The 25950-nt window shown below is 38.8% G+C and overlaps 1 protein-coding gene across 1 annotated transcript in view, besides 4 other annotated features; it reads left to right on the plus strand.

The window, feature by feature from the left end:
* Positions 1-501: an enhancer, noted in NCBI's record as "H3K27ac hESC enhancer chr5:63986301-63986801 (GRCh37/hg19 assembly coordinates)". NCBI's record gives its function as "activates a minimal SCP1, AML or CMV promoter by ChIP-STARR-seq in primed H9 embryonic stem cells {active_cell/tissue: H9 hESC(primed)}" and the evidence as "EXISTENCE:reporter gene assay evidence [ECO:0000049][PMID:30033119]".
* The window catches only part of SHISAL2B (shisa like 2B), a 27688-nt gene continuing 1767 nt past the window's right edge, over positions 30-25950 (plus strand). Inside the window, exons 1-2 of the mRNA NM_001164442.2 lie at positions 30-341; positions 5034-5191. Of these exons, the coding sequence (NP_001157914.1) occupies positions 151-341; positions 5034-5191 (349 nt within the window). The 5' untranslated portion in view covers positions 30-150. The remainder of the gene's footprint in view (positions 342-5033; positions 5192-25950) is intronic.
* Positions 14961-15734: an enhancer, noted in NCBI's record as "OCT4-NANOG-H3K27ac hESC enhancer chr5:64001261-64002034 (GRCh37/hg19 assembly coordinates)". NCBI's record gives its function as "activates a minimal SCP1, AML or CMV promoter by ChIP-STARR-seq in primed H9 embryonic stem cells {active_cell/tissue: H9 hESC(primed)}" and the evidence as "EXISTENCE:reporter gene assay evidence [ECO:0000049][PMID:30033119]".
* Positions 15735-16506: an enhancer, noted in NCBI's record as "OCT4-NANOG-H3K27ac hESC enhancer chr5:64002035-64002806 (GRCh37/hg19 assembly coordinates)". NCBI's record gives its function as "activates a minimal SCP1, AML or CMV promoter by ChIP-STARR-seq in primed H9 embryonic stem cells {active_cell/tissue: H9 hESC(primed)}" and the evidence as "EXISTENCE:reporter gene assay evidence [ECO:0000049][PMID:30033119]".
* Positions 24295-24898: an enhancer, noted in NCBI's record as "OCT4-NANOG-H3K27ac-H3K4me1 hESC enhancer chr5:64010595-64011198 (GRCh37/hg19 assembly coordinates)". NCBI's record gives its function as "activates a minimal SCP1, AML or CMV promoter by ChIP-STARR-seq in naive H9 embryonic stem cells {active_cell/tissue: H9 hESC(naive)}" and the evidence as "EXISTENCE:reporter gene assay evidence [ECO:0000049][PMID:30033119]".

The following is a 25950-nucleotide window of genomic DNA, read 5'->3' on the forward strand; positions in this document are numbered from 1 at the left end:
GCGCGCGAAGGCTGAGCGCCCAGGCAGCCAGAGCCCAGATCGGAAGAGCCGAGTCCGGGCAGAGGGGTCCGCGGGCTCTGGAGGTGCTGGACGGGTGCGATCCGAGAGCAGACCGGGGCCCTCGCGAGCCTCTCCCGGCCCCTGCCCGCGATGAGCGAGGCCAGCCGACTGTGCTCCGGCTACTACAGCCTCAACCAGAGCTTCGTGGAGCCCTTCCAGTGCCCCCGGCGCGGCGAGGGGGCAGCGCTCCAGTATTGCTGCGGCTTCGCCGACCTCAAGTACTGCTGCAGCGAGCCGGGCAGCTACTTCCCCTACAAGCACAGCTACATGTGGAGCCTCAGGTGGGCTGAGAGCCCGCGCGTGCGGCGGCTGGCCGAGCCCGGGGCTAGGGAGGCGACAAGCGGAGCCACGCCAGGGCCAGGGAGGTTCCCCCGCGTCCCCGCTATCCGCCCTAGGTTAGGTCCCTACGGAAGGACGCGGAGCCTCTGAGGGCGGGTGAGGGCAGGGAGAGAAATCTCGCCCCGGCTCGGAGCTCCCCCGGGAGCCAGGACAGGAGGCGAGGCGCACGCTGGAGGAGCGCGGGCTTTGCGCCCAGGGCGCACTTGGGGCCCGCCTGGCTGGCCCCGCTGAGTTCCCCGCCCGCCTCCCGGGAGCCGACTGCTCTCCCCTCGCCGGGACCAGTCCCAGGCTGATAGCCCTACTGGTGGAGCGCGAGGACAGGAAGATAACCCAAGGGGAAGGTTTAAAATCCTCTTTTTGGTTTATCTGGTGTATTTGAAGAGAAAGGAGGCTCCTATGGGGCTCTTCTTACTGCATTAACAAGGACCAGAGTATTTTAAGACTCTTTGAGGGGTGTGAAGGAATTGGCTGTGTTCTTTAAAATACATGTATATTTTTAAAAGTGTGTGTGTGTGTGTGTGTGTGTGTGTTCCTGAGGGCCTGTGCAAGCAACTGGGCTTTACGACTTGCACTTTTTGGAGGATCTGACCCCTACCCTGGAGAGAATTGAAGCGACACCAAGAAAGGTACAGCTTTTGGTTGCTATGATTATACACACACTCTGTAGAACAGGACACCCCCTTTCTTGAAACCCGAGCCATGTGGCTATTGCTGGAATGTGAAGAGACTTTCTAAGGTGAGGTCTTTCTTGTTTCTTTTTCCCATAGTGGCAATTTTATTTTACTTATTCCAACTAGTATTGATGTAGACATTTTCATTATGAATTGCTTTTCCCACTTCCACTCTGAAGGGCTGCAAACTTTAAACTTGATTTTTCATTTTGCTTGAAGAATGAATGGGGTTCAACAATCAAGGAACGAGCTCCCACCTTAAATTGTTTTGTACATATTCATTAGTTTATGGGGTTGGAGGAGATGGAGTCTGCTAGTAAGAGGTAAAGTATTGTGATTATGTCTCCCAGTCTCCTACATGACCCAGAATTTAACACACATGCCAAGTCTATAGCAAATGACTAAATGTTACTTCTTGAAGCAATAAAATATTAACATATTTTTCTATATTGCAAGCATCAAAAAGTCTCAAAAGGAGTGCCTACCTTCCAGTAAGTTTAACTGACAAAATTGTATTTTGCTGGACAGGGGCAAAATGTCAGAAAATAATGATAGCTTATCCTTAGTAGATTACATGGGGAAGAAATCTATATTGCACTGGTTTATTATCTGGCCTTTTGGAAAATAACAGAGTAATCTATCTCTGGGTCATTGGAGGCGTTACTAATGGCAGAAGCACCTCCAACAGGGACTGGCAATTCCTCAGTCAAACTCAACTGGAAAATGTGCCTGAGATTCTCAGATCCTTGAATAGTTCCAAAGTGACAAGCAATAGAGGACATAAAACCTTCCTAAGATGTATGAGGGCACAAAAGAGTGAACAGCTTGCTGGGGTCTTCATTCAGTACTGACAAAATGGACAGTGCAGCTCCATTCCCAGGAAATAGAAAAATCACTTCAACTGATGTTGTCATTTGGCAGTGTTAAACCTGGGGTTCCTGTGAGTTATTGAGCTCTGAGAACACAATAGGGAGGTAAATTTATTAGAGCTTCATTTGCCCCCTATTCTTTGCTCTCCACTCCTAATTTAAAATAGTCCAACTGGGAAGAGTCACTAGCCCTTGTTTTGAGATTCTATAGTGGCAGGAGAAAGGCACAGCTGTGGCTATCACAAGGTAAGTGAACTTCCTAAGTAGGAGAATTGCCACATTAATGTGACAGCAGCTTCAGACCCTCTCTCAAAGCTTGTAAAACAACTGCCATAGGGTGCTGAGGAAAGGATAATTCTTCCTTTCCTGTGTCTGGCCCCTTCCCATCTTTTCTCCTCCTATGACTCCCTATGTTCTTAGGATTTTCCTTGGTAACCTTCTCCAGGACTTAGGGAAATAAGGTCTATTGGACAGGGCCATGCACGAGTGGCTATTTAATAAGTATTTATTGAAATGAATATTTTAGGAGTCTCCTGGAGCTCCATCTTTTCTGAGAGTTAATACCTAGAGTTTTGCATGCATAAAGCAACATTTCTTCTCCTTTTTTTTTTTTGAAACGGGGTCTCACTCTGTCGCCCAGGCTGGAGTGCAGTGGCGCAATCTCGGCTCACTGCAACCTTCGCCTTCCGGGTTCACGCCATTCTCCTGCCTCAGCCTCCCGAGTAGCTGGGACTACAGGCGCCTGCCACCATGCCTGGCTAATTTTTTGTATTTTTAGTAGAGACGGGGTTTCACCATGTTAGCCAGGATGGTCTCAATCTCCTGACCTCGTGATTCGCCCGCCTCAGCCTCCCAAAGTGCTAGGATTACAGGCGTGAGCCACCGCGCCCAGCCATAAAGCAACATTTCTATAAAGTGAACGGTGACATTGAAACTGTTTGTCAGTATTATGAAGAACATTCTTTTTTAACAGAAAGCATGGATGGCATGCTTTGTTTTTGTTTTTCTTTCAAATTGAATGGTCTGGTTTTATAATTTGTAGATTGAAAGCCCACACTATGTATGTGGAAGTTAATTAAACTAACAATTTTGCTTTCAAATAGACTAAATTACATTTTTACCTTGAAGATTTTTTAATCAGGTTCTTGTTTGAAGAATCTTTCCAGATGTCTAGCCTCTTATCTGCTCTGTGCACCAGATAATATTAACTGAGTGGATTACATTCCCATGTGTCTGTGTATGGTGAAGTGATCCTAACCTTCCCTGACACTTAAAATGCACAAAAGTTAGGTTTGGTGCAAACAAGTACAAAAGAGGAGTCGCCAAATATAGGGAGTCTACCTTTTAGATGAGAGCAAACCCCAAGTTGAAATATAACTCTACAGTGAGTCACTCTACAGTGACTCTAGCCATAAAATTCCCCAGCCTTCACTCATCTACAGGGCTAGTGGAACTGGGTTGACAATAAACCAAGCACAAGAATCTCTGGAAGTCGACTTCAAGTGTGTGCTTCAGGAGGCAATCTCTTCTTTGCAGGGGTGCTCTACCTCCTGAAATCAAGGACAAGTGGAGTGAGCTTAGCTCTTCACTTTCAGTTCTGTTCTCCTTCCTCCCAAAGCAACAATGCTCCTGGCATCCCTGGTCAAATTCTCCCTTCCCTCCCTTTTGGTACAGGTCAAACTTGTCAGTGTCCTAATCCCAGAGAAAGAGCAGAAGCCTAAAGGCAAGCCAGGAAGATAATGAAGAAAAAGATCATTACTTTTCAATGACGTATGTTCCAAATACAGGTAGATCAATTGGCAGTCAATTATTATTTATTTACATTTATTGAACATTTTCTACAAGCTAAGTTCTCAAATGCTTTAAATAAGTGTGTACAACACTACCATGAAAGTTGACAGAAGTATCTGTTTTTGAGTAGAATTGATTAAAATCTATTTATAGGTTAAAATCTATTGGTAGATTTTAATTAGAACAAAATGTGGTTCAAGAAGTACATGTTAGCATATTAGTCTTTCAAGATAATGCTTTTTTTCCCAAGCTCTTTTCCCATTTAGTGGTATTAAGTTCACAGGCTTATGAAAACTGTATTTCTCAAATGATTAGACTTAGAGGTAACTGCATCAGACGGAATCATTACAAATTTAGGGTGGAGCAAATACAATCAGATACACATTTATTTTTAGAGAAAAATACACGGGCTTCTTCCTTAATGCTAGAAGCCATTGACATTATGCCCTTTTAGAAAGGAAAAGTCAAACTGAACATGAACTTGATATGAATTTCACAAATACGATTTTCCTTTAATTCAAATTGCTTTCTCCTTTTTTATAATAGTTTTGGCTTTGTAAATCAACAAATGGCATTTCACATATGTCTTTAGTGCTTTTGCAGAAACAAATATTTTTCTATTCATCATTTGTTGGTGAACCCAATCTTTCCTTCTAAAGTATATTAATAATAGAGATTTATTTGATGGAGATGTTTTAGAATTATCCCTAGAGAATCATGTGACCTTTAACCTATAATATGAACACGTGGTCTTCCATATTAATAGTAACGTACAGGCCGGCCGGGAGCGGTGGCTCACGTCTGTAATCCCAGCACTTTGGGAGGCCGAGGCGGGTGGATCGCCTGAGCTCAGGAGTTCGAGACCATCCTGGGCAACATGGTGAAACCCCGTTTCTACTAAAATACAAAAAATTAACTGGGCATGATGGCGTGCACCTGTAGTCCCAGCTACTCGGGAGGCTGAGGCACGAGAATCACTTGAGCTCTGGAGGCGGAGGTTGCAGTGATCCAAGATTGTGCCATTGCACTCTACCATGGGCTTCAGAGTGAGACACCATCTCAAAAAAAAAAAAAAAGTAATGTGTAAATTTAAAAGGGCCTCGAAAATCCTGCAGAGAAAATATAAGAATTTGGTGGTGGATAAAGGTGAACTGTAGATTTCAATCAGTTCCTTTTTATGCTAAAATACAATTTGGTTATGAATAACTGAAAACAAGAATTAACAATATATTTATGCCTTCTCTTTAGTTGAACCAGTGTGAACCACTTTGTGTGACACATATTTTTTTTCTGTTTTCCTCAGCATTGGTGCCTTGATTGGACTAGGAATTGCTGCCCTTGTTTTACTCGCCTTTGTCATCAGTGTCTGTGTCCTTTGCTATTTATTTCTGTATACGAAACCTCAAAGATTAGACACTGGCCTTAAGCTTCAACACTTAGAGGCTTCTTCCACTCAAGAAGGTAATCAGTATCTATTATTTGTTACCAATTACCTGAACTCTATCCAAAAGAATAACTTGTACCTGGGTGATAATACTGTTAACAATGAATGCTTTTTAAAAATTCAGTTCACTATGTGTCTCACTAAAAATTCACATTGAATCAGGCCGTTAATGATGAAATACCTTAGGGAAATTGTGCTGAAGGAAAAATAGCAGCAGGATGTAATTATTCTCATGAAAATTAAATCATTGGTTCAGTAAATCTGCTTTAAATATATTTATGTTCCTTCCAGTTATTAAAGTTTATCCTCTTGAAATTTTTAAAATTTTGATTTTGGATGGAGTCAAAGAAGTCAAATTGTTGCAGGAAGTCAGGGACCCTGAACAGAGGGACCGGCTGGAGCCACAGCAGAGGAACATAAATTGTGAAGATTTCATTTTAATATGGACATAGATCAGTTCCCAAAATTAATACTTTTATAATTTCTTATGCCTGTCTTTACTGCAACCTCTGAACATAAATTGTGAAGATTTCATTTTAATATGGACATTTATAAGTTCCCCAAATTAATACTTTTATAATTTCTTATGCCTGTCTTTACCATAATCTCTTAATCCTGTTATCTTCGTAAGCTGAGAATGTATGTCACCTCAGGACCACTATTGTGTTAAACTGTACAAATTGATTGTAAAACATGTGTGTTTGAACAATATGAAATCAGTGCACCTTGAAAAAGAACAGAATAACAGTGATTTTTCAGAGAACAAGGGAAGACAAACATAAGGTCTGACTGCCTGCGGGGTTGGGCAGAATAGAGCCATATTTTTCTTCTTGCAGAGAGCCTATAAATGGACCTGCAAGTAGGGAAGATCTCACTGAATTCTTTTCCTGGCAAGGAATATTAATAATTAAGACCCTGGGAAAGGAATGCATTCCTGGGGGGAGGTCTATAAACAGCCGGTCTGGGAGTGTCTGTCTTATGTGGTTGAGATAAGGACTGAAATACGCCCTGGTCTCCTGCAGTACCCTCAGGCTTATTAGGGTGAGGAAAAAACCCCACCCTGGTGAATTTGAGGTCAGACCGGTTCTCTGCTCTCGAACCCTGTTTTCTGTTGTTTAAGACGTTTATCAAGACAATACGTGCACTGCTGAAAGTAGACCCTTATCAGGAGTTTTTGATTTCGCCCTTTGCCTTGTGATCTTTGCTTTGCTCTTTGCCTTATGATCTTTGTTGGCTTCAGAAGCATGTGATCTTTGTTCTCCTTTTTGCCCTTTGACGCTTGTGATCTTTGTGACCTACTCCCTATTCGTATACCCCCTCCCCTTTTAAAGTCCTTAGTAAAAACCTGCTGGTTTTGCGGCTCAGGTGGGCATCACCATCCTACTGATATGTGATGTCACCCCTGGAGGCCCAGCTGTAAAATTCCTCTCTTTGTACTCTTTCTCTTTATTTCTCAGCCAGCTGACACTTAGGGAAAATAGAAAGAACCTATGTTGAAATATTGGGGGTGGGTCACCCCATATCAAATAAATAGAGGAACCAAGTATTTGATAACTTATTATCTGAACCAAATATTTGCATGACTCTATATTGGCTAGTCAGTGGTCAGTTAAGAATTTATCTGTGTGTCTACTGTGTACAGAGTTCAGAAGGGCATATAAAATAATTGAGGCATATAAAAGAAATAGAAAAAATAAGTAGAAGATGTATTGACCAGATTGCAAACTAGTTAAAATATTGGGATTTATATGTGTGTAGTGTGACTATAAAGTAGAAATAAATGTTTATGGTTTGTGGAACTAGGTCCTATTATTTCTCAAACATCAAGTGTTATACAAATGCTAGTTGTTACCATTATAAAACTCAATTGCAAAGAATTGTTAAAACTGTTGTGAATATGAATTTCTATAGTGTATTAAAAAGTACTAATTATAAATTTTATTGTGAGATACACATATAAACAAATCTAGAATATACATTATAGATATAAATGGAATTTATCAAGAATTTATATATAGAATATATAAACTTAGAATATAAATTTAGGATTTATGTATGTATTTAGAATGACACACAAGTGCTTACTTGCTTCCATGTAAAAATAAAATGAAAATCTTTGTGTTAAAAAAATTGAGAAAAGTCCCCACCCATATGCTCTATTTTAGCTGCATCCTAAAACTTCTCATATTATGGGGTACCTGTTCTGTGACCTTATCAAATACATCACCACTGTGTGATTGCATTAGCTCTCATTTCCTTCTCTGTAGAGGAGATCTCTCAGAGGGTATCCTGTGTCACAGAACAAGGGGGCCAAGATTCCTTGAAAGTTCTCTTCCTGAAGTTCTGTTTGGAGATTGCATGGCCAAAATGACAGGTTGTTAGCTGAATTTAGTACAAATGACTTAGGCCCAGTTTCTCCACTGGAAGTTGATTAGTGATTATCAAATAATCAGATTGTAAAATCAATTTTTATCTCAATTGCTTAGGTAAAGTTGCAGTTCATAAATTTGTGCCTAAGAATCATGTAGAGAGCTTGTTAAAAACACAAGTTCCAGGCTCTGCATTTTAAAACAAGTAGCTCCTCTTTCTGCTTCTGTCCTTGTTCCCCTGCTGTCTGCTCTCCAGAGCAGCCAGAGCAGACCTGTTAAAACACAAGTCAGGTCATGTCACTCCTCTGCTGAAAACACTAATCGCTTCCTATCTCTTTCAATAGAGAAAACAGTCTTCATCATGACCTGTGGGGACTTTTGTGATCTGCCCTTTTATTTCTTATCTTCACATGCCCAGCATCATTGGCCCCTTTGCTGTTCCTTGAACTTCCTGACTCAGGGTCTTTGCACATGCTTCCACTATTGTCTAGGATGCTTTTCCCTCAGATATCTGCATGACTTACATTATCACTTTCCATCTTTACTCAAAAGTTACCTTCCCAGGAGCTCTCCCCTGGTTACCCTATCTGTATTTTTAACTCCCTTTCAACATTTAATACCCTCTTCCTGCTTTGAATTTATCTTAGGCACTTACCATTAACATATTATATCCTTTACTTACCTGTTGTCTATCTTTTGTCCACTCCAACTAGAAACTAAGTTCCAGAAAAGTAGGAGTTTTTGTCTTGTTTGCTCTCTACTGTATCCCCAGTGCCTAGAATACATAGCAAATATTCCATGAATGAATTGAATGGGGTAGCACTGCATGTGTGTGATCAAAGGAGCATATTTTGAGAAACATTGGCAAAATATTGTCACTGTCACAGTCATAAAACATTCATTGATTGCCTTCTCTATACAACGCACTGTGCTAAATAAAAATTGGTTATTTTTCCAGATTTAGCTTAGATACTGCTCCAAAATTTTATTTCATATTGACTTTAGAACATAGCAACAGAATTAGTTGGTTTGTTGATTCAAGTTTTGTGTTCTTGTCACTATTGAGTGAAGGAGGTCCATTATAGTTAGATGAGGCTGCTTACTTGCAAAGAAATATCCTCATTCTGCCCCTCTCATAAATATATTTTGTCAAATTGACAAATCAATTCAGTACACCTTTCCCAAATGCATGCTATTGGTAAGGCAAGATTTTACGTGATCAGTGACTTCCTGCTGCTTTCAAATGAGGTGATTTTGGTCTCTTGCATTGATTTTAACCAAATTAGATATAGTGGAGAGCCCAAAATAAAAATAGTTCAAATGTCACTAGAATGGGAAGAGAAAATTGTTTGTATTTGAAAGTGAGCCTTTGATGTGATATTTAAACATTGCTGTACCCTTCGTTAAATATGCATGTTCCGTTCCAATGATTCTACTACCTAGCAATGGATGCCAGTGTTCTAGCTATTGAGAAAGCAAGTCTGTGGCTTTATTGCATTTAAGGAATGTCTTGAAGGTTAGGAATATAATAGAATATTTAAATAACAAAATCAAGCAAGTAAATATTACATCAGAGGAAAATTGGTTTCACCAGTTAGCCATTTCCTTTCTCATGGGTCAGCCTCTCAATATTTTAGGTTAATTTTTACAGTTGAAACTGTTTTCATTATAGGAAATCTGAATGGCCTAAAGGGAAATGTGTTCTTGTGTACATACTAAATTGACTTAGGACACTGAACTTTTTTCCCTCTATAAATGACAAGAGTCTAAACTAGTCTAATATTAGACTATTTTGCCAAGATTTTCCATAGTATATCTTTATTCTACTGAATTTCATTACAATTTAAGGCTCCAACGTTTGGAATGGATCTTGAAAAAAGCAAGTCTCTGGTAGTGATTGTAGACTCTAATTGGACTACCCCTAGGGCTCATTCTGTACAGAGGACCTATTGCTAAAGCAATTGATTGGTCTTTAAGTTGTGTTCCATAACCACCTTCTTCTTTTTAAACTTTTGTGTTTCGGGTTATGCATGCTTCAAATGCCAATGTTTAAAAGAATACCATTGCTTGTAAATTGTTCTGTACAGGACGTACAAAGAAAAAGATGGCTGTGTGAAAGGCACCCTTCTGAGTCTACACTCTGAGGGTGAGGGCTCATTCCACAGGTTGGGGAGGAATTAATGGCTAATCAAGGAGCAATTAAAGGGGTGTCTTAGAGCCCTGCTTCTCAAACTTTTCCACCAGAGAATCCTTAAATGTATACAGTTGTCCCTCAGTATTCATTGAGATTGGTTCGAAGACCCCCTGTGGATACCAAAGTCCTCAGATGTTCAAGTCTCTGATATAAACTGGCATAGTATTTGCATGTAACTACACATATCCTTCCATTTTATTTATTTGTTTATTTATTTAGAGACAGAGTCTCGCTCTGTTGCCCAGGCTGGAGTATGGTGGCGCAATCTTGGCTCACTGCAACCTCTGCCTCCCTGTTTCAAGCCATTCTCCCACCTCAGCCTCCCGAGTAGCTGAGACTACAGGCAGTGGTCACCATGCCTGGCTAAGTTTTTTGTATTTTCAGTAAAGGTGAGGTTTCACCATGTTGGTCAGGCTGGTCTCAAACTCATGACCTCAAATGATCCACCTGTGTCAGCCTACCAAAGTGCTGGGATTATAGGCATGAGCCACTGTGCCTGGCCCTTTTATATGCCATGAATCAGTAGTCTCCATCTGTTTTTAACACCAGGGACCAGTTCCATAGAAGATAATTTTGCAGGTCGGGGGTGGGAGGGATGGTTTTGGGGTGAAACTGCTCCACCTCAGATCATCAGACATTAGATTCTCGTAAGGAAAGCACAACCTAGATCCCTCACATGCGCAGTTCACAATAGGGTTCATGCTCCTTTGAGAGTCTAATGCCAGTGTTGATTTGACAGGAGGTGGAGCGGAAGCAGTAATGCTTGCTTGCCCTTTGCTCACCTCCTGCTGTGCAGCCTGGTTCCTAACAGGCCACAGATTAGCACTGGTCCATGGCCCAGGGGTTGGGGACCCCTGCTTTAAATCATCTCTAGGTTAATATGTAGTACAATGTAAATGCTCTGTAAGTAGTTCTTATTCTGTGTTGTTTAGGGAGTAATTACAAGAAAAAAAGTCTGTACATGTTCATTACAGATGCTTTTTTTTCCCAAATATTTTTGATCCATGGTTGGTTGAATCTACAGATGCAGAACCCATGGATATGGAGGGCCAACTATGTGAGAGAAAGGAGCCTGTGTCTCCAGAATTCTAAGGGCTAGAGTAGAAAGGCCTGCTTTAAGCCTAATGAGCTTTAAATTATCTGAAGTTCCAATTTATTTTTAAAATTATGAGAATTTTCAATTTGACTGCATAATATAATGACTTGCTTTACTCTAATAATAGCATCTTCTCCCTCTCATATCTGAGTAAAATTGATGCTCCAGGAAGATAAAGCATATTTATCCTGGGGCTTTGAATATCTATTGATATTCTGGAGTTTTAGAAGGGGCTGGGGGAAGGAGCAAAGAGAAGGGTTCTTAGAAGCAGAATTTTTGATAAAAATTAGAAGGGCAAATATTAGTAGAGCTGCTTGGCACAAATAAAATAATACAGTTGTATAGGTATAATAAACAACAAGCCTGTATTTGATGTTCTCTTTTGTAAAGGCAGATGATATAAATGAAAAAGGGTAAGTAAATTAGCAGTAAGGCACAGTTATCTAGGAGAAAAGCATAAATTATATATGAAATACTGAGAAGGAAAGCAAATTTAAAGATAATGCAAACATTTATTCTGCCTGTAAGCAAAACAGGATTTGGGCTGGCTCAGCATGGTCTGCTATATTCGTCTTAGAAGATATCCTTGCTCCCCCAAAAGAAAATCTTCCTTTCAATTCATTATAGTTCATTATCAGTTCATTATAGGAAAATTAGGAAATACAGAGAAACAAACAAATAAATCTTGTATGTGACTAATTTTCAACTGTAGAAGTTTCTTTTTTTGTGGTTTCTCCTTTTGGTTTCACACTTAGAAAGTTTTCCCCTCACCAAAAGATATAAAGATAAAAGATTCAAGTATAAAAAATAAATGCATTAGAAGAAAATATAGGTAACTGTATTTTCCAGTATAGTTTATATTTTCTAGTATAGTTAATTTCTGATTTCTAATATAGTTAATTTTTTTTTTTGAGATGGAGTTTTGCTCTTGTCGGCCAGGCTGGAGTGCAATGGTATGATCTTGGTTCACCGCAACCTCCGCCTCCCGGGTTCAAGCGGTTCTTCTGCCTCAGCCTCCTGAGTAGCTGGAATTACAGGCATGAGCCACCACGCCAGGCTAATTTTGTATTTTTAGTAGAGATGGGGTTTCTCTATGTTGGTCAGGCTGGTCTCGAACTCCTGAACTCAGGTGATCAGCCTGCCTTGGCCTCCCAAAGTGCTGGGATTACAGGCGTGAGCCACCGCACCTGGCCCTAATATAGTTAATTTTTAACTATATTTTCTAATATAGTTCGAAGTATTAGTAATTAGTTATAGTTACCTATGGTTATCTAATTATATAATTACCTAGCTATATAATTACCTAATATAATATAGTTACCTATATTTATATATTTGCATACCTATAAATAAATGTATTAGGTAATTATGTAGTTGTCGATATTTTCTTCTAATGCATTTTTCTTATACTTAAATCTTTAATACTCCTGGAGCTTTAATTTTGGTATAAAATGTGAGGTAGAGATCTGTCTTTTTTATTTTCCAAATAATGAGTCAGTTGTCAAATATTTATTGGCTAATCCGTTTTTCTCTTGACAATTTAAAATGTCACTAGTCATAAACTAAATTCTTATATATATTGTGGTCTGTTTTGGACTCTGTGTTTTGTTAAATTGATCCATTTGTTTATTTTAAGCTAATAATATACTTTAAGAATTACTGTAGCTATACAGTTTATTTTAATATCTGATTAAACAAGACTCCATCTCCCCTCTCCTGTCATGCTTCTTTTTCAAAGTTTCTTGGCTAGTCTAGTAGCATTCAAGTTTCCAAATAAACTTTCAAATCACTCTGTCCAATCTTAAAAAGACAAATGGTATTTTGATGGGTTTTGTACTAAATTTATAAAGAAGTTGGGAACTACTTTTCTAAATAGCCTTAACGTCCTTTCAGAAACATTTGCTCAAAGCTTTTATGAATTAGGCTGCCAAATTATTTATTAATAGTAATATCAGTGTTTATTTCAGAAAGATTTTAAAGGAATTCATTGAGATCTCAGCAGAAGATAGGGTAATTGGAACTCAATGGCATAAAAGGCCACCTGTGTCCCTTTAAATAGAAAGACGTTTTTATTTAAAATAATGAGCCTAGAATTTTATACAACTGCTTTTGTTCCTACAATGTAGAAAATCAAATTGCTCAATAGAGCTACTGCTACATTTATTAGGTTGGTACAAAAGTAATTGCAGTTTTTGACGTTATAATAGCATTTCTGAGTCCTCCTCAAGGCACAGAGTCAGGCAATCCTCAGTCATGTTCAAACCAATAAGCAAAATAGAAGCCAGTATCTCATTGAAAATTATTTATTTCAAGGATATATAATATCTGCTAACTTCCTTTGTAAGATGTTGTTGATCATCAATGGTTGGAAGAATTTAACAATACAGAAAAGAAAGAAAAAGGTGAATTCTGGAAAAAATAGGGTAGGAAAATAATTTCTGACTACAACTGCCTCCACTCATTAATGAGTGACTACAGCAAAAGGGCAAGTCCAAGATTCTAACTTTCATGATAAATTTTTTGACTGTGCTTATGTGAGATCTCTTTATATACTTGAGGGGAAGGCAGGGCATTGAAAAGGGAGAGGTCAATAAGTTTTGCTCACTTCACCGTTTAGCTCACACCCAGTCCTGTGCATCATCATATTAAATTTGAAGAGAAAACATCCTCTTACAAATAAAAAAAACACTTTTAGGGTAAAAACTTGAGATTGCTTGTTTCCACAAGAAGGAACTGCAGGATGAGTGGGATGTGTAGATTTTCTACTAAATAATAAGGTGACTCAGCTAGGTTAGTACGTGGAAGCTGCTGAAGAACTTCAGAATGGTAACACAGAAGCTAGGAGGACATTCGCAGATGATAGTAGAAAGGCTTAATTACAGTTCTGCCTGATAGCCACAAGATAAAGACCTGCAGAAGTCCCCAACATTCTTTTGATATTTTGAAATGGCAGGCAAGAGCAGCGTTCACAGAAGAATCATAAGTCCCCGAGGAAAGGGTTTGAAAATAAATATAAAATTTAACTGTTATCAGAAAAATTATGTTGGCCTACCTGTGATGAGGATAGGTAGAAAGATTTCATTCGATGAATTGGATTTAAATTTTGGCAAAGGCCAAAGCTTTAATTTAATGCCAGTCTAGGAAGTATAGGATTAAAGAAAGGTTGAAATTTACATACAATGACTAGAACAACAAAAACAAAGAATGGAAATAAGTAGCAGGCAGCAGGAAGAGCAGCTGACAATTAACCTAGGAAAGAACTGTGATGTCGAATCTTGGCAATTCCCACTTCACTAATGAGAAAAATAAATTAAATAAGAAAAAATTTTTATGTGTAACAAATCTCTGCAATGATATTACAGATTTATTTAAATTGAATCCATGTTGTTACCTGTGACAGAAAAGAGGCACAGGTAACAATCCCTATTTTGTTGGTTAAGAAACTAGTTTCTATTTATTAAAAAAAAAACAGAAAAGCTGAGGTTGCTGAGATATTTTCATCTTTCTCTTTTAAAATTATCCCAGAGTTGCAGTTAGCTGGACTGTATTATCACTATAGCTCCACTAAGTGCAGTTATTTCCCAATATGTCCAATTACTCTAAGTTACCAGAGGGATATACCTTGAAAGCACTTTTGGATTTGTCTAACCTGCAGGAAGAGAGAACGCTAGAGGTGTTATGGTGTTTATAACACATCTTTTCTTGTTCACGTAGCAATTTGGTTTTGTTAGGGGAATTGCTTTGGCTTTAGAAGCCAATCAAAAAAAATCTTTGTACTTAACACTGGTTAGAAAGATCCAATAGCCAAGTAAATAATGAGTTGAGGCTGGGGAATAAAGGTCTTTACAAGTCATAAATTAATAAAAATCTATACTACTGTAATGTATTTTGCAAGCCTTTTAATCTCAGAGGGGAGTAAACAAGTTAGATAAATTCCTTCAGTTGTTGCCAGAGAAATATATAATGGAAACAAGAGCATCAGAATGGGGATGACTTAGAGAGAACCCCGGAATGACTAAGTTAGGAAACAACTTCCTTAGTTTATTTCCCATTAAAAAACCCAAAAACCCCAAATTGGTTATGACAAAACACCTTGAACGTCTGATTAAACTACTATGAATTTAAGTATGTAAAAAGCTTTGGAAACATGAGGGACTTTAACACTACACTTTTTAGATTTCCAGGAATTCAAAAAAAATTAAAATTTTAGATACTTAAATCGGTGCTTATATAAGATACAAATGTCACCCAGATAATACAAAACTAATTTATAGCTTAAATCTTTGATCTTTTATCTTTACCTGCTATGATACTAAAGAGTAAAAATAATATTAAACAAGTGAAAAATAACCTACAAACACCTTAATTTGATTTTCAAATATTATATAATGTGAATCCAAAATATCTGAGACAGGTCTCTGTCAATTTAGGTTTATTTTGCCAAGGTTAACGACGTATCCCTGACACAGCCTCAGGAAGTCCTGAGACATGTGCCCAAGGTGGGTGGGGATACAGTCTGCTTTTATGTATTTTAAGGAGACATGAGACATCAGTTAATATGTGTAAGATGGGCTGGGTGCAGTGGCTCACACCTGTAATCCCAGCACTTTGGGAGGCAGATGCGGGCAGATCACTTGAGCCCAGGATTTCAAGGCCAGCCTGGGCAACACAGTGAAACTCCATCTCTACCAAAAAATTAAAAAAATTAGCTGAGCATGTTGGTGCATGCCTGTAGTCCCAGCTACTTGGGAGGCAAGGCAGGAGAATTTCTTGAACCCAGGAGGTAGAGGTTACAGTGAGCCGAGATTGCACCACTGTACTCCAGCCTGGTGACAGAGCAAGACTGCGTCTTAAACACACAAACAAAATGTGTAAGATGTGCATTGGTTTGGTCTGGTAAGGTGAGACAACACCAGGTTAGAAGTAGATAAGAGACAAAAGGTTGCATTCTTTTGAGTCCTTGATCAGCCTTCCACTAAATACACAATTTAGTCTGGCTCAGTGAATCTGCATTTTTACATAAACAGTAGGGGGAGAGGAAGCAATCAGATATGCATTTGTCTCAGCTGAGCCTCAGAGGGATGACTTTGAAATAGAATGGGAGGCAGGTTTGCCTTAAGCAGTTCCCAGGTTGACTTTTCTCTTTAGCTTAGTGATTTTGAAGTCCCAAGATTTATTTATTTTCCTTTCACATTTCCACCCTTTTCTTTTTAAAATCTTTTGGAGAAAGCATTTTAGAAGAAAAATGAGTCTGGTCTCAGGTTTTGTCTGATCTCTCATGGCTAGTATGATTAATTCCTAGATGGGTAGGTCCCACATTATGAGGAAAGCTCATTTTTAGCAGGTTGTGAAGTCTCATGTCCTATCAAAGAGAAAATAGGGGGAGGAAGAGAGAAAACAAACAAAAACAGAACAATCCTGGTAAATCAATATAGGCCATATTACTTTGAAGTGGCTTATGTATGTAAATAGGTTGCTGTTATTTTCTTCTAAAGCTTAAGTTGTCTAGCTTCAGTTTGCAGGGCTTTAAAGAAAGCACAGCTTAGTTTTCAGTGATTTCAACGTAGGAAAAATAGGGGAAAAAAGATAAAAGAAAGAATAAAAATTAAATTAAAAACATTATTTTGGAGACTTGTAGCCTGGAAAAACTTTATAATTCAGTCCAAACTGTAGAAAATAATAAAAATTGAAAAACATTAGGCAAGACTAGAATCTAATAACAGGTGTACTATAGCTCATTTTGAAACATAGTTTTTCTTTCTCCAGTCTTCCATTTTTATTAAAAACAAATCATAATAGGACCAATTTGTTTGCAAAAATAAGCTTTAGTCTTATGCTTGGCCTGATTATTTGTATATAGGGCAGCAAGGATAATTATTTTTCAAATAGGCTTTTAAAATTGGCTTTGATGAAACTCAAGGAATCTCAGATAAGACTTTTTATTTATTTATTTATTTATTTTTAGCTGAGCCCAGCCATAAGTTTGTATCCTCAAATACCTATGAGTTGTGTAATTTCCTCTCCTCTTGAGGTCCCAGGATAACTTGGGCCTCCTGGGCCTGTTAGAATGTGACATTCTTTACTTACCACAGGTTAGGAGCCCTCTACGGGGACCGTGAGGACATGGTATGAGGCCAGTTTTCCCCAAAGGGCTTTTATTGGCTGTATGGGTTAAGCTTGATTCCTTAAAGGAAAGCATGCTATTCTATTCAAAGCCTTGGTAAAACAACCAGTTTCTCCAATTGTGTCCTGTTGCAAAAGAAAACATTCTTATTGCACTTACACAAATAACTATATTGCCATAAGTTAAGAAAACTCACAAATAGTTTCCAAATTCTGGAGAAATCAGGCAGAGAGAAATATGCTCCAAATTTTGTTTACAGGAGTATACTTTACTCAATTGTTAAAAGCTGTAAATAGCTTAAAAGAAGTTTTCTTCACTCTGAAAAACAAAACAAAAGATCAGCAACATTTTAAGCAAAAAGTCAAAAAGATTACTTCAGTCTTCTTTTAACTCAGTCCATGCACTTAACTCTGGTCCTGTTTGATATTCGTGAACATTTCAGCTCTCTGAGAGTCCTGAAAGTTTTTTCCTGTATTCTAATGTCACAATTTCCAAAGTTATTAAAAAACCTGCATTCAAGAGCACCTATCAAAGTCCTACAGCTGATTATAAACCACCTTTTGAAGAGGATCAAAACAAGAGAAGTCTTAGGACAGCCATTATTAAAACCACATTTTACTAGCAATTTTTTACTTCTGTGGCATACAACAGTTTTACATAATAATTATAATTATTAATAACATACACTAAGTCATATTAAAATTATAGGAGTTTCCCATAATTTGGGAACACATACCAATAACCTTTATACAGATATAGCCCAAAGAATACCAAACACCATTTCATATTTGACAATGCTTCCTGTATGATTTCTATACCAATAAGCCAAATATGTCTCTTTTGCACTTCTGGGGACTAATAGCAAAAAATTAATGAGGACCCAAGTTAGAATTTGACTTTAGAAAGTGTGTCAAATATAAAAAGTTTAAAACACTTGATATCATGAAATAAGATCACAGGTCATTGCAAAATAAGTCATTCATTTAACCAAAGGGATAACATAAAGATTTCAAAAACAGGTGAAAACCTTTATTCTTTGAGAGAAAAGACTTAATTTCCTGAATAATAAGCCCTAATAAAGACAGCATGAGGCCAATTAAACCTATCTTTCAAAATCTTAAAAACAATCCATACAATGCCTGATTTTTTAATCATCTTGACAATAAGATATAATTTCCATAAACCTTGTATATTATTTGTTAAATTTGAATCTAATTTTTAGAAAATGTTTACTTTGCAAAGTCAATACTTTTTTTATTTCTTAAATTTTTCATGCCATCTTTCTCTACTATATTTATTTTAAATATCTTTGCTTGCTGATTGGGCAAAGGCTATTTTCCAGGCTAGTAAATGCTGTGCCTACAACAAATTAGCTTTTAAGAATCAAATTATACTGATTGCATGTTTACAAGTAGAATATTAAGTAACTTATTTTACTACCAAAAATAGTTCAGAAGAGAAGTAATTGAAATAAAGTCATTATTGTGCCACTCTAGGCCCTGGATTTTAAATTTCAGTGCTTCTAATATTAGCCTAGAGATCAATACCATGCATGTTTCAGTCTTATGGGTAAGATATGGAAGCTGCAGTGAGACATCTTTCTTTTTTTTTTTTTTAATATTATACTTTAAGTTTTAGGGTACATGTGCACATTGTGCGGGTTAGTTACATATGTATACATGTGCCATGCTGGTGCACTGCACCCACTAACTCGTCATCTAGCATTAGGTATATCTCCCAATGCTATCCCTCCCCCCTCCCCCCACCCCACCACAGTCACCAGAGTGTGATATTCCCCTTCCTGTGTCCATGTGATCTCATTGTTCAATTCCCACCTATGAGTGAGAATATGTGGTGTTTGGTTTTTTGTTCTTGCGATAGTTTACTGAGAATGATGGTTTCCAGTCTCATCCATTTCCCTACAAAGGACATGAACTCATCATTTTTTATGGCTGCATAGTATTCCATGGTGTATATGTGCCACATTTTCTTAATCCAGTCTATCATTGTTGGACATTTGGGTTGGTTCCAAGTCTTTGCTATTGTGAATAATGCCGCAATAAACATACGTGTGCATGTGTCTTTATAGCAGCATGATTTATAGTCATTTGGGTATATACCTAGTAATGGGATGGCTGGGTCAAATGGTATTTCTAGTTCTAGATCCCTGAGGAATCGCCACAGTGACTTCCACAATGGTTGAACTAGTTTACAGTCCCACCAACAGTGTAAAAGTGTTCCTATTTCTCCACATCCTCTCCAGCACCTGTTGTTTCCTGACTTTTTAATGATTGCCATTCTAACTGGTGTGAGATGGTATCTCATAGTGGTTTTGATTTGCATTTCTCTGATGGCCAGTGATGATGAGCATTTTTTTCATGTGTTTTTTGGCTGCATAAATGTCTTCTTTTGAGAAGTGTCTGTTCATGTCCTTCGCCCACTTTTTGATGGGGTTGTTTTTTTTCTTGTAAATTTGTTTGAGTTCATTGTAGATTCTGGATATTAGCCCTTTGTCAGATGAGTAGGTTGCGAAAATTTTCTCCCATATTGTAGGTTGCCTGTTCACTCTGATGGTAGTTTCTTTTGCTGTGCAGAAGCTCTTTAGTTTAATGAGATCCCATTTGTCAATTTTGGCTTTTGTTGCCATTGCTTTTGGTGTTTTGGACATGAAGTCCTTGCCCACGCCTATGTCCTGAATGGTAATGCCTAGGTTTTCTTCTAGGGTTTTTATGGTTTTAGGTCTAACGTTTAAATCTTTAATCCATCTTGAATTGATTTTTGTATAAGGTGTAAGGAAGGGATCCAGTTTCAGCTTTCTACATATGGCTAGCCAGTTTTCCCAGCACCATTTATTAAATAGGGAATCCTTTCCCCATTGCTTGTTTTTCTCAGGTTTGTCAAAGATCAGATAATTGTAGGTATGCGGCGTTATTTCTGAGGGCTCTGTTCTGTTCCATTGATCTATATCTCTGTTTTGGTACCAGTACCATGCTGTTTTGGTTACTGTAGCCTTGTAGTATAGTTTGAAGTCAGGTAGTGTGATGCCTCCAGCTTTGTTCTTTTGGCTTAGGATTGACTTGGCGATGCGGGCTCTTTTTTGGTTCCATATGAACTTTAAAGTAGTTTTTTCCAATTCTGTGCAGAAAGTCATTGGTAGCTTGATGGAGATGGCATTGAATCTGTAAATTACCTTGGGCAGTATGGCCATTTTCACGATATTGATTCTTCCTACCCATGAGCATGGAATGTTCTTCCATTTGTTTGTATCCTCTTTTATTTCCTTGAGCAGTGGTTTGTAGTTCTCCTCAAAGAGGTCCTTCACATCCCTTGTAAGTTGGATTCCTAGGTATTTTATTCTCTTTGAAGCAATTGTGAATGGGAGTTCACTCATGATTTGGCTCTCTGTTTGTCTGTTGTTGGTGTATAAGAATGCTTGTGATTTTTGTACATTGATTTTGTATCCTGAGACTTTGCTGAAGTTGCTTATCAGCTTAAGGAGATTTTGGGCTGAGACGATGGGGTTTTCTAGATAAACAATCATGTTGTCTGCAAACAGGGACAATTTGACTTCCTCTTTTCCTAATTGAATACCTTTTATTTCCTTCTCCTGCCTGATTGCCCTGGCCAGAACTTCCAACACTATGTTGAATAGGAGCGGTGAGAGAGGGCATCCCTGTCTTGTGCCAGTTTTCAAAGGGAATGCTTCCAGTTTTTGCCCATTCAGTATGATATTGGCTGTGGGTTTGTCATAGATAGCTCTTATTATTTTGAAATACGTCCCATCAATACCTAATTTATTGAGAGTTTTTAGCATGAAGGGTTGTTGAATTTTGTCAAAGGCTTTTTCTGCATGTATTGAGATAATCATGTGGTTTTTGTCTTTGGTTCTGTTTATATGCTGGATTACATTTATTGATTTGCGTATATTGAACCAGCCTTGCATCCCAGGGATCAAACCCACTTGATCATGGTGGATAAGCTTTTTGATGTGCTGCTGGATTCGGTTTGCCAGTATTTTATTGAGGATTTTTGCATCAATGTTCATCAAGGATATTGGTCTAAAATTCTCTTTTTTGGTTGTGTCTCTGCCCGGCTTTGGTATCAGAATGATGCTGGCCTCATAAAATGAGTTAGGGAGGATTCCCTCTTTTTCTATTGATTGGAATAGTTTCAGAAGGAATGGTACCAGTTCCTCCTTGTACCTCTGGTAGAATTCGGCTGTGAATCCATCTGGTCCTGGACTCTTTTTGGTTGGTAAACTATTGATTATTGCCACAATTTCAGCTCCTGTTATTGGTCTATTCAGAGATTCAACTTCTTCCTGGTTTAGTCTTGGGAGAGTGTATGTGTCGAGGAATGTATCCATTTCTTCTAGATTTTCTAGTTTATTTGTGTAGAGGTGTTTGTAGTATTCTCTGATGGTAGTTTGTATTTCTGTGGGATCAGTGGTGATATCCCCTTTATCATTTTTTATTGTGTCTATTTGATTCTTCTCTCTTTTTTTCTTTATTAGTCTTGCTAGCGGTCTATCAATTTTGTTGATCCTTTCAAAAAACCAGCTCCTGGATTCATTGATTTTTTGAAGGGTTTTTTGTGTCTCTATTTCCTTCAGTTCTGCTCTGATTTTAGTTATTTCTTGCCTTCTGCTAGCTTTTGAATGTGTTTGCTCTTGCTTTTCTAGTTCTTTTAATTGTGATGTTAGGGTGTCAATTTTGGATCTTTCCTGCTTTCTCTTGTGGGCATTTAGTGCTATAAATTTCCCTCTACACACTGCTTTGAATGTGTCCCAGAGATTCTGGTATGTTGTGTCTTTGTTCTTGTTGGTTTCAAAGAACATCTTTATTTCTGCCTTCATTTCGTTATGTACCCAGTAGTCATTCAGGAGCATGTTGTTCAGTTTCCATGTAGTTGAGCGGCTTTGAGTGAGATTATTAATCCTGAGTTCTAGTTTGATTGCACTGTGGTCTGAGAGACAGTTTGTTATAATTTCTGTTCTTTTACATTTGCTGAGGAGAGTTTTACTTCCAACTATGTGGTCAATTTTGGAATAGGTGTGGTGTGGTGCTGAAAAAAATGTATATTCTGTTGATTTGGGGTGGAGAGTTCTGTAGATGTCTATTAGGTCCACTTGGTGCAGAGCTGAGTTCAATTCCTGGGTATCCTTGTTGACTTTCTGTCTCGTTGATCTGTCTAATGTTGACAGTGGGGTGTTAAAGTCTCCCATTATTAATGTGTGGGAGTCTAAATCTCTTTGTAGGTCACTCAGGACTTGCTTTATGAATCTGGGTGCTCCTGTATTGGGTGCATATATATTTAGGATAATTAGCTCCTCTTGTTGAATTGATCCCTTTACCATTATGTAATGGCCTTCTTTGTCTCTTTTGATCTTTGTTGGTTTGAAGTCTGTTTTATCAGAGACTAGGATTGCAACCCCTGCCTTTTTTTGTTTTCCATTTGCTTGGTAGATCTTCCTCCATCCTTTTATTTTGAGCCTATGTGTGTCTCTGCATGTGAGATGGGTTTCCTGAATACAGCACACTGATGGGTCTTGACTCTTTATGCAACTTGCCAGTCTATGTCTTTTAATTGGAGAATTTAGTCCATTTACATTTAAAGTTAATATTGTTATGTGTGAATTTGATCCTGTCATTATGATGTTAGCTGGTGATTTTGCTCGTTAGTTGATGCAGTTTCTTCCTAGTCTCGATGGTCTTTACATTTTGGCATGATTTTGCAGCGGCTGGTACCGGTTGTTCCTTTCCATGTTTAGTGCTTCCTTCAGGAGCTCTTTTAGGGCAGGCCTGGTGGTGAAAAAATCTCTCAGCATTTGCTTGTCTGTAAAGTATTTTATTTCTCCTTCACTTATGAAGCTTAGTTTGGCTGGATATGAAATTCTGGGTTGAAAATTCTTTTCTTTAAGAATGTTGAATATTGGCCCCCACTCTCTTCTGGCTTGTAGGGTTTCTGTCAAGAGATCCGCTGTTAGTCTGATGGGCTTCCCTTTGAGGGTAACCCGACCTTTCTCTCTGGCTGCCCTTAACATTTTTTCCTTCATTTCAACTTTGGTGAATCTGACAATTATGTGTCTTGGAGTTGCTCTTCTCAAGGAGTATCTTTGTGGCATTCTCTGTATATCCTGAATCTGAACGTTGGCCTGCCTTGCTAGATTGGGGAAGTTCTCCTGGATAATATCCTGCAGAGTGTTTTCCAACTTGGTTCCATTCTCCCCATCACTTTCAGGTACACCAATCAGACGCAGATTTGGTCTTTTCACATAGTCCCATATTTCTTGGAGGCTTTGCTCATTTCTTTTTATTCTTTTTTCTCTAAACTTCCCTTCTCGCTTCATTTCATTCATTTCATCTTCCATTGCTGATACCCTTTCTTCCAGTTGATCGCATTGGCTCCTGAGGCTTCTGCATTCTTCACGTAGTTCTCGAGCCTTGGTTTTCAGCTCCATCAGCTCCTTTAAGCACTTCTCTGTATTGGTTATTCTAGTTATACATTCTTCTAAATTTTTTTCAAAGTTTTCAACTTCTTTGCCTTTGGTTTGAATGTCCTCCCATAGCTCAGAGTAATTTGATCGTCTGAAGCCTTCTTCTCTCAGCTCGTCAAAATCATTCTCCATCCAGCTTTGTTCCATTGCTGGTGAGGAACTGCGTTCCTTTGGAGGAGGAGAGGTGCTCTGTGTTTTAGAGTTTCCAGTTTTTCTGTTCTGTTTTTTCCCCATCTTTGTGGTTTTATCTACTTTTGGTCTTTGATGATGGTGATGTACAGATGGGTTTTCGGTGTGGATGTCCTTTCTGTTTGTTAGTTTTCCTTCTAACAGACAGGACCCTCAGCTGCAGGTCTGTTGGAATACCCTGCAGTGTGAGGTGTCAGTGTGCCCCTGCTGGGGGGTGCCTCCCAGTTAGGTTGCTCGGGGGTCAGGGGTCAGGGACCCACTTGAGGAGGCAGTCTGCCTGTTCTCAGATCTCCAGCTGCGTGCTGGGAGAACCACTGCTCTCTTCAAAGCTGTCAGACAGGGACATTTAAGTCTGCAGAGGTTACTACTGTCTTTTTGTTTGTCTGTGCCCTGCCCCCAGAGGTGGAGCCTACAGAGGCAGGCAGGCCTCCTTGAGCTGTGGTGGGCTCCACCCAGTTCGAGCTTCCCGGCTGCTTTGTTTACCTAAGCAAGCCTGGGCAATGGTGGGCGCCCCTCCCCCAGCCTGGCTGCCGCCTTGCAGTTTGATCTCAGACTGCTGTGCTAGCAATCAGCGAGATTCCGTGGGCGTAGGACCCTCTGAGCCAGGTGTGGGATATAGTCTCGTGGTGCGCTGTTTTTTTAAGCCGGTCTGAAAAGCGCAATATTCGGGTGGGAGTGACCCGATTTTCCAGGTGTGTCCGTCACCCCTTTCTTTGACTCAGAAAGGGAACTCTCTGACCCCTTGCGCTTCCCAGGTGAGGCAATGCCTCGCCCTGCTTCAGCTCGTGCACGGTGCGTGCACCCACTGGCCTGCGCCCACTGTCTGGCACTCCCTAGTGAGATGAACCCGGTACCTCAGATGGAAATGCAGAAATCACCCGTCTTCTGCGTCGCTCACGCTGGGAGCTGTAGACCGGAGCTGTTACTATTCGGCCATCTTGGCTCCCCCCACCGACATCTTTCAAAACTTGTAAATAATATTGTCCTTTGAGTGTTGAACCATGAAGTCGTCCCAGAGTGAGGGATGTCCTGATTGATACTAGAAAGCATTTTACTTATAGAAAGGTATCTTTAATATATATTTTTACTTACAAAAAGCAGTTTAGTTATAGAAAGCAATTAATATGCAAAGCCAGGAAGTATTAGCATACTTAAAGGCAAGGTTTAGATTCACCAAAAAAAAAAAATTAAAAACTCATATCCAGAAGACATGCTATATGGTGAAAAGAAGAGGATGTACAGTAGCTACTTCTAATGGAAGGAGTCTTGACTAATGGACTTCCCCTTAGGGAGGTTTGTGGCAGATTTTCTAAAACCTGAAGGAGAATTCTTCAAGCAAAGGAGGCTGGAGAATTAGAGACACTAGGCAGCTGGAAGAGGCTTGGGGCAGAGAGGGAGACACCAGGGAAAGTTTGGGGAAAACAGGACTTGTGGGTCTCTGAACCACCAAAGAAAAGGAAGGTAATGGGGTGAACTGAGCCAGAAGAGGAAAGCAGAACCAGATCATCAGCCTAACCAAGTTTATGTGTGATCCTAAAGTGCTTTAGCAGACAGGCTGATAGTGTTATGTGTAAGTGCTATGTAAGTATTAACTATCATTGTATTGCTGATAGTTTTACATTCTTCTCATTTGACATCGTATTCTAAGCACATTCCATGTAATTAAACATTTATTAGAAACCATTTTTTTTAAGTTAAATGGCTGCATGATATCTCAGGCATGATATTTAGCAATTCTATCATTGGAAATTTAAGGTACTTTCATTTCTTGGTATTTAAAATAACCAGTGAAGAAGATGTCTGTAAGTTTTAGATCTCATCGTTGATGGTTTCCTTGGGAATTTCTTGTTAAAGCGGAATTACAGGGTAGGAACATTTGACACTTTTAAGTATGCACCAATTTACACTCCCATCATGCTACACCGTTGACCAAGAAAAATTACTTTTTACCCTCACCTAATTGAGAGATGAGAAACAGTTTCTCACCTTCCAAATTTACATTTCCTTCTGACTAGCAAGATTAAAACTTTTTCATGTTTATTAGCCATTTTATCTTTTCGGTCACTTTCTTCACTCACTAAAAGGTGTTAATGTCCTACATGTTGATATGTAAGATCTTTACATATTAGGCATGCATTATTTGCTCTAAATATTTTTTGCTAGTTGGTTTTCAATCTTGTCTTTTGCTACTCAGTTTTAAAGTTTTCTGTCTTATCCTTTATTAATACACTCAACTAATATTTATTGAACAACTATGTGCAAGGCATTTTTATAGACACATCATTAATGAACAAAATAGTCAAAAGTT

This window comes from Homo sapiens, chromosome 5, assembly GCF_000001405.40.
Source record: "Homo sapiens chromosome 5, GRCh38.p14 Primary Assembly".
In the NCBI taxonomy this organism is placed as follows: Eukaryota; Metazoa; Chordata; class Mammalia; order Primates; family Hominidae; genus Homo; species Homo sapiens.